Below are 9,300 nucleotides of genomic sequence, written 5' to 3' on the forward strand. Positions count from 1 at the left end.
CCCAAGTAGCTGGGATTACAGGCATGTGTCACCACACCCAGCTAGTTTTTTGTATTTAATAGAGACAGGGTTTCACCATGTTGGTCAGGCTGGTCTTGAACTCCTGACCTCAGGTGATACACCCGCCTCGGCCTCCCAAAGTGCTGGGATTACAGGCGTGTGCCACCTCGCCTGGCCGATTTCCAGGATACATGGTTAAGTGAAAAAGAGCAACTTAAAAAAGAGGACCTGTCGGGTGTGGTGGCTCTCGCCTGTAATCCCAGCACTTTGGGAGGCCAAGGTGGGTGAATCATGAGGTCAGGAGTTTGAGACCAGCCTGACCAATATGATGAAACCCCGTCTCTACTAAAAATACAAAAATTAGCCGAGTGTGGTGATGTGTGCCTGTAATCCCAGCTACTCAGGAGGCTGAGGCAGAAGAATTGCTTGGAGCCAGGAGACGGAGGTTGCAGTGAGCTGAGATCACGCCATTGCACTGTAGGCTGGGCGACAGAGCGAGATCGAGACTCCATCTCAAAAAAAAAAAAGAGGATCTATAGTATGCCACCTTTTGTTTAAGAAAGAGAGGCTGGCCGGGCATGGTGGCTCATGCCTGTAATCCCAGCACTTTGGGAGGCTGAGGCGGGCGGATCACGAGGTCAGGAGTTCGAGACCAGCCTGACCAACATGGTGAAACCCCATCTCTACTAAAAATACAAAAAATAGCCGGGCGTGGTGGTGTGCGCCTGTAATCTCAGCTACTTGGGAGGCTACAGCGGGAGCATTGCTTGAACCTGGGAGGCGGAGGTTGTGGTGAGCTGAGATCGTGCCATTGCACTCCAGCCTGGGCAATAAGAGCGAAACTCCATCTCAAAAAAAAAAAAAAAGAAAGAAAGAAAGGCCAGGCGTGGTGGCTCATGCCTGTAATCCCAGCACTTTGGGAGGCTGAGGCGGGTGGATCATTTGAGGTCAGGAATTCGAGACCAGCCTGGCCAACGTGGTGAAACCCCGTCTCTACTAAAAATGCAAAAATTAGCTGGGCGTGGTGGTAGGTGCCTGTAATCCCAGCTACTCAGGAGGCTGAGGCAGGATAATCGCATGAACCTGGGAGGCGGAGGTTGCAGTGAGCCAAGATAATGCCATTGCACTCCAGCCTGGGCGACAGAGGTGAGACTCTGTCTCAAAAAATAAATAAATAAATAAATAAATAAATAAATAAATAAATAAATAAAAAGAAAAGAAAGAGAAAGAAGAAAATATACTGTACCTTATCTGCACATTTGAAAAAGAAACAGAAAGGATAAAAAGGTGTGGTTAGAATGGGGTGGAACAAAGGATAGAAGGAATGGGTATGACACTTCCCTGAATATACTTTTTTGCATAGTTCTGAATTTTATATTTAAAAATAAGATGGGAAACCTTCTAAAATTGAACACAGCCGGGCGTGGTGGCTCACGCCTGTAATCCCAGCACTTTGGGAGGCCGAGGCGGGCGGATCATGAGGTCAGGAGATCGAGACCATCCTGGCTAACACAGTGACACCCCGTCTCTACTAAAAATACAAAAAATTAGCCAGGCGAAGTGGCGGGCACCTGTAGTCCCAGCTGCTCCAGAGGCTGAGGCAGGAGAATGGCGTGAACCCCAGGGGGGCGGAGCCTGCAGTGAGCCGAGATTGCGCCACTGCACTCCAGCTTGGGCAACAGCGAGACACCATCTCAAAAAAAAAAAAAAAAAAAAAAAAAAAAAAAAAAATATATATATATATATATATATATATATATATAGAATACAAAGAGAAATAAATTAATCAAACCGTGCTTCAAATGATTAAGATAACCACCGTGAAGGATGGGGTGGGGAAGAACTAACCCAAATTACTTTTCAGCATAGGATTTGGACTATATATCCATAGGCTAAACACAAAAAATACAGAAGGTTCTTGCTTTGTTCAGTTCCGACATGTATGAATTTCAATTACCACAGTTTAATTAAATAACATCAGTCCAACAATAACATGGTTCAAAGGTAGTTACCATAGTATATTAACTGTAATTGCATAAAGTATAAACTTTGCTACTAGCTCTTCAGTCCACAAATCTCTAAGTAAACAAGAGACACCTGGTGATCGGTAACCATCATCTCAGTTCTTTCTTTTCTTTCTTTTTTTTTTTTTTTTGAGATGGAGTTTTGCTCTTGTTGCCCAGGCTGGAGTGCAATGGCACGATCTCAGCTCACCATAACCTCCGCCTCCCGGGTTCAAGCAATTCTCTTGCCTCAGCCTCCTGAGTAGCTGGGATTACAGGCATGTGCCACTATGCCCGGCTAATTTTGTATTTTCAGTAGAGACGGGGTTTCTCCATGTTGGTCACGCTGGTCTCGAACTGCTGACCTCAGGTGATCCCTGCGCCTAGGCCTCCCAAAGTGCTGCGATTACAGGCATGAGCCACTGCGCCAGGCATCTTACTTCTTTCAAAGTCAGCTGGTGATTGGTCATTGTACTTACCTTATTCAGTTGTAGTTGTCTTGTCTCCTTGTCTGCCAGTGACTCACATGACATTTTATAAAAATGAATAATCAGGCTGGCACAATGGCTCATGCCCGTAATCCCAGCACTGTGGGAGGCTGAGGCGGGCGGGTGGATCATTTGAGCCCAGGAGTTCAAGACCAGCCTGGGCAACATAGTGAAACCCTGTCTCTATAAAAAATACAAAAATTAGCCAGGTGTGGTGGCTCGAGCCTGTAGTCCCAGCTACTTGGGAGGCTGAGGTAGGAGGATCCCTTGAGCCTAGGAGGTTGAGCCTGTAGTGAGACACAATTACACCTTGCACTCAAGCCCAGACAACAGAGTGAGACCCTGTCTCAAAACAAACAAATAAATAATCAGAAGAAAGAATTAATGAACAAACATGAAAGTGTAGTAACGAAAGGAAAAGTGTTGGAAGTCAAATTTCAATCACCCATAAATGGCAAATTTATTGACATAAATGATGAAATTTGTTGTTATTAAAAGGATGAAGATATCCCAGAGGAAGTGTTGCCAGCAAAAAAACCTTTGCATTAAATACGAGGTCTCAGAGACATTTCACAACATTGAAAGCACAAAAGAAAAAAAATGCAAACTTAGAAAGGAGTACGACAATTTGCTAAGGAACGAAAAACACACTATCACTATACTGTAAATTATAAGAGAAGAAGGCAAGCACTATTCAAACTATTCGTAATGAGTTTTTTTTTTTCCAATAAGCCTTTTGGACTCCTATTATTCTTGATGAATTTTTAACAAAGAAATGAAGCACTTTAATCCTCAATGTTTCTTTTTTTTTTTTTTTTGAGACGGAGTCTCACTCTATCACCCAGGCCGGAGTGCAGTGGCGCAATATTGCTTCACTGCCACCTCTGCCGCCCAGGTTCAACCGATTCTCCTGCCTCAGCCTCCCAAGTAGCTGGGATTACAGGTGCCTGCCACTGCGCCCGGCTACTTTTGTATTTTTAGTAGAGAAGGGGTTTTACCATCTTGGCCAGGCTGGTCTTGAACTCCTGACCTCGTGATCCACCCGCCTCGGCCTCCCAAAGTGCTGGGATTACAGGCATGAGCCACAGCACCCAGCCAATCCTCAATGTTTCTAATATTTTAAGTTACAGTGTACCAAATAAATATTAGTTTTACTATGTTTTTCATTTTTGTTTTTTTTTTGAGACAGAGTCTTGCCCTGTCATCAGACTAGAGTGCAGTGGCTCGATCTCGGCTCACTGCAACCTCCACTTCCCAGGTTCAAGCAATTCCCCTGCCTCAGCCTCTGCAGTAGCTGGAAGTACAGGTGCACGCCACCATGCTCAGCTAATTTTTTGTATTTTAGTAGAGACAGAGTTTCACCATGTTGTCCAGGATGGGCTTGATCTCGTCATCTCCTGATCCACCTGCCTCTGCCTCCCAAAGTGCTGGGATTACAGGCGTGAGCCACCATGCCTGGCCTGTTTTTCATTTTTCTATACATTTACACCCAACAGTAAGAGACTGTTGAATATTTTCACATTTTTTGAAGGTCACAGAGCAATGTTAACATTGATTATTAATATCACTTTGCATGGTTTCCACTTGCAAACTTTTTTTTTTTGAGATGGAGTCTTGCTCTGTCACCCAGGCTGAAGTGCAGTGGAGCAATCTTGTCTTACTGCAGCCTCTGTCTCCCAGGTTCAAGTGATTCTCTTGCCTCAGTTTCCCAAGTAGCTGGGATTACAGGTGCCCGCCACCATGCCTGGCTAATTTTTGTATTTTTAGTGGAGATGGGTTTTCACCATGTTAGCCAGCTGGTCTCAAATTCCTCTACTCAGGTGATCCGCCTGCCTCAGCTTCCCAAAGTGCTGGGATTACAGGCGTGAGCCACTGCACTTGGCCAGCACACTTATTTTTTATGGCCCCAGACTATTGTGCAAAGCTAGAACTGCCAGCATTCTAAAAATTATTGAATCTAATTAGTACACTTCTTTTTTAAAAGAGACATAGGTTAGCAATTCTGAAGCCACTTTCTCTACATCCTAGGATTGAGCAAGTAAGTAAATATGTTGTGAACAATGACAGAATTCTCACTATTGGAAAAGGGTGTCAAAAATACAGAAAAGGGAATGGATAGAATAAATTCTGCTTTACTAGATTAGAATTGGAGACATTTAAGGTGAACTTAAGGATAAAGATAAATGGATATAGATAGATATGTACATGTAGATGTATGTACATTTCTCAGCACTATCTGCTGAGAGGGCCTAGAAGCAATTACATACCTCACACTCTGGTCTTGGTTTCTAATACCAATAAAAGGAACTTGCCAGGCACGGTGGCTCATGCCTGTATTCCCAGCACTTTGGGAGGCCAAGGTAGGTGGATCACTTGAGCTCAGGAGTTTGAGACCAGCTTGGGCAACGTGTCAAAACCCCATCTCTACAAAAAACACAAAAGTTAGCCAGGCATGGTGGCACATGCCTGTGGTCTCAGCTACCTGGGAGGCTGAGGTGGGAGGATCACCTGAGCCCAGGGAGGTCGAGGCTGCTGTGAGCCATGAATGTGCCACTGTACTCTAGCCTGGGACAATATAAAGGGAGTGTAGAATGTCTCATTGTGCTAGAAATTAAGAAGGAAGTGCTCAAACAATTATGTGGCCATGTCAAAGAAATACAGGAGCCAGTTTGAAGGAGATCCTAATGATCAAATTTGTGACAATATCAAAATAAAAATGTTGATAGTAACTGTGTGAATAAATAAATAGGGAGACAGAAAATTATTATTTTTTTTGAGACAGAGTCTCCTCTGTCACCCAGGCTGGAGTGCAGTGGCATGATGGCGGCTCACTGCAACCTCGCCTCTTGGGTTCAAATGATTCTCCTCTCAGCCTCCCAAGTAGCTGGGATTACTGGCGTGAGCCACCATGCCAGGCTTTTTTTTTTTTTTTTTTTTAGTAGCGATGGGGTTTCACCATGTTAGCCAGGCTATTCTCAAACTCCTGACATCAAGTGACCCCCACCCCGGCCTCAGCCTCCCAAAGTACAGGGATTACAGGCGTGAGCCACTGTGCCCAACCAAGAGATGGAAAATTTCTTCCTTCCATTAGAAAACCAACTAATAAGTGTAGGAGAAATGATGAAATTAGAAAAGCACCAATTGGTAACCATGGTATTAATAACTGACGCAAAAAAAAAAAATTCAGCAATGGATGCTAAAACTAGTGTGTGAAAGTGTGAGGGGTTATGCCGGGCGCAGTGGCTCACGCCTGTAATCCCAGCACTTTTGGAGGCCGAGGCAGGTGGATCACGAGGTCAGGAGTTTGAGACCAGCCTGGCTAGCATGGTGAAACCCTGTCTCTACTAAAAATACAAAAATTAGCTAGGTATGATGGTGCACGACTGTAGTCCCAGCTACTTGGGAAGCTGAGGCAGGAGAATTGCTTGAACCTGGGAGGCGGAGGTTGCAGTGAGCCGAGATCACACCACTGCACTCCAGCCTGGGCGACAGAGCAAGACTCCGTCTCAAAAAAAAAAAAAAGAAAAAGAAAGTGTGAGGGGTTATAGAATTATTACTATTATTATTTTTTAAACACAGGGTTAACCAGGTGCGGTGGCTCATTCCTGTAATCCCAGGAGTTTGGGAGGCTGAGGCGGGAAGATCACTTAAGGTCAGGAGGTTGAGACCAGCCTGGCCAACATGACAAAACCGCATCTCTACTAAAAATATAAAAATTAGTTGGGCATGGTAGTGCACACCTGTAATCCCAGCTACTCGGGAGGCTGAGGCATGAGAATCACTTGAACCTGGGAGGTGGAATTTGCAGTGAGCTGAGATTGAAAAAAAATTAATTCAGGCCGGGCGCGGTGGCTCACGCCAGTAATCCCAGCACTTTGGGAGGCCGAGGCGGGCGGATCACGAGGTCAGGAGATCGAGACCATCCTGGCTAACACGGTGAAACCCTATCTCTACTGAAAATACAAAAAATTAGCCAGGCATGGTGGTGGGCGCCTGTAGTCTCAGCTACTCGGGAGGCTGAGGCAGGAGAATGGCCTAAATCCAGGAGGTGGAGCTTGCAGTGAGCTGAGATCCGGCCACTGCACTCCAGCCTGGGCGACAGAGTGAGACTCCGTCTCAAAAAAAAAGAAAAAAAAAAAAAGAAAAAAAATTAATTCAGTTAAGATCAATTTAATGGGTCACACTCAGTATTTTATTTTATTTATTTATTTATTTATTTTTTTGAGCTGGAGTCTCGCTCTGTGGCCCAGGCTGGAGTGCAATGGCACAATCTCGGCTCACTGCAACCTTCATCTCAGCTCCTAAAGTGCTGGGATTACAGGCATGAGCCGCCACCCCTATCCCTAGATTAGCTTTGCATTTCAGTCTCGGGATCACTTTTGAACATTATGCTTGCACTTTCTTAATCAAACATTTACAGAACACCTTTTAAAGTGAAGTAGAAATAACCAATGGTTATTTATTACATACTAGGTATTGCATATGCATTACCTCATTTAATTCTCAAAACACTATGACGTAACTACTATTATTTTTTTGTTAGAAATTGGGCAACTGGGGCCAGGCGTGGTGGCTCACGCCTGTAATCCCAGCACTGTGGGAGGCCGAGGCAGGTGGACCACCTAAGTTCGGGAGATCGAGACCAGCCTAACCAACATGGAGAAACCCTGTCTCTACTAAAAATACAAAATTAGCTGGGCCTGATGTGGCACATGCCTGTAATCCCAGCTACTCGGGAGGCTGAGGCAGAATAATTGCTTAAACCTGAGTGGTGGAGGTTGCAGTGAGCCGACATGGCGCCATTGCACTCCAGCCTGGGCAACAAGAGTGAAACTCCGTTTCAAAAAAAAAAAAAAAAAATTAGGCAACTGGGACATAGTAAATTAAGTAACTTGCTCCAGGTTATTCAGCCAGTAAGCAAGGTCAAGCCAGGTGGTCTGTGCCTGTAGTCTCAGCTACTTGGGAGGCTGAGGTGAGAGACTGCTTGAGCCCAGGAGTTCAAGGCCAGCCTAGGCAATATAGTAAGGCTTCAGATCTCTAATTAATAAAATAAAATATTTTTTAAAAGTAAGCAGGGTCAAAGGACGCTGGTAAGACCTCAAAACCAATAACTTGAACGGCTGTGCTAGATTTTCCCAATGTCTCAGGCTCACTTTTCTCGTCTGTACCTATTCCACAGAGTTACAAGTTTCCAATGAGATAAAATATGCAGGAGGGTTTTATAACCTATGAAGCACATTGCAAAATGGCATATATGATTTTTTTTTTTTTTTTTTTTTTTCCTGAGACGGAGTTTTGTTCTTGCTGCCCAGGCTGAAGTGCAATGGTGCGATCTCGGCTCACTGCAACCTCCGCCTCCTGGGTTCAGGTGATTCCTCTGTTTCAGCCTCCCGAGTAGCTGGGATTACAGGTGCCCGCCACCACACCTGGCTAAATTTTTATATTTTTAGTAGAGATGGCGTTTCATCATGTTAGCTAGGCTGGTCTCGAACTCCTGACCTCGGGTGATCCACCCGCCTCGGCCTCCCAAAGTGCTGGGACTACAGGTATGTGCCACTGCGTGTGGCCATGATTTTTAAATATACAATTAAAATGGTTTATTTGTAATAACGGATAATAGCATGAATACATAACGTACATATTTCACAACCACAACATTCTGGTATTTAAAAACTTTTTTTTTGAGACGGAGTCTCGTACTGTCGCGCAGGCTGGAGTGCAGTGGCGGGATCTCGGCTCACTGCAACCTCCGTCTCCCGGGTTCAAGCTCTTCTTCTGTCTCAGCCTCCCGAGTAGCTGGGATTACAGGGGCGCACCACCATGCCTGGCTAATTTTTTGTATTTTTAGTAGAGGCGGGGTTTTGCCGTGTTGGTCAGGCTGGTCTCTAATTCCTGATCTCATGATCCGCCCGCCTCGGCCTCCCAAAGTGCTGGGGTTACAGGCGTGAGCCACCGCACCTGGCGTTAAAAACTTTTTATTGAAATGTAATGTATACGGGCCAGGCGCAGTGGTTCACGCCTGTAATCCCAGCACTTTGGGAGGCTGAGGCCGGTGGATCACCTGAGGTCAGGAGTTGGAGACCAGCCTCGCCAACATGGCGAAACCCTGTCTCTACTGAAAATACAAAAATTAGCCGGGCGTGGTGGCACACGTCTGTAATCCCAGCTACTCGGGAGGCTCAGGCAGGAGAATCGCTTGAACCCAGGAGGCAGAGATTGCAGTGAGCTGAGATCGGGCCACTGCACTCCAGCCTGGGCGACAGAGCGACACTCCGTCTCAAAAGTTAAATAAATAAATAAATGTAATGTAATGCATGCAGCTCGATTAACTTTTACAAAAGTAAAAATGACAAAAAAAAAAAAAAAGTAAGCACTATTCAGGTCAAAATGTAAAACTACCAGTATCTCGGAAGCCTCCCTCTGGCAAATGGTATATGTTTTTGAGTTAAATACGTGGATTCGAATGTTGACATTTGGACTTTCTTCTTGCCTCTGGTAAGTTATTTAACCTCTCTTGGTTTCAACTGAGCCATCTGCGAGGTGGGGATAATATTACCTCATAAGATTATTTAATTGTAGCAGGGCGTGGTGGCGCATGCCTGTAATCCTAGCTACTGGGGAGGCTGAGGCAGGAGAATCGCTTAACAGCCTGGGCGACAAGAGCGAAACTCCGTCTCAAAAAAAAAAAAAAGAAAAAAGAAAAAGATTATTGAATTGAAGGAGATCACATAATGTAAAACATCTATCATAATGCCTAAATATAGCTGGCCTGCAATAAATGGCAATTATTCTCAGGCAAATGTAATAGG

Source organism: Homo sapiens, chromosome 10, assembly GCF_000001405.40.
Source record: "Homo sapiens chromosome 10, GRCh38.p14 Primary Assembly".
NCBI classification, from domain to species: domain Eukaryota; kingdom Metazoa; phylum Chordata; class Mammalia; order Primates; family Hominidae; genus Homo; species Homo sapiens.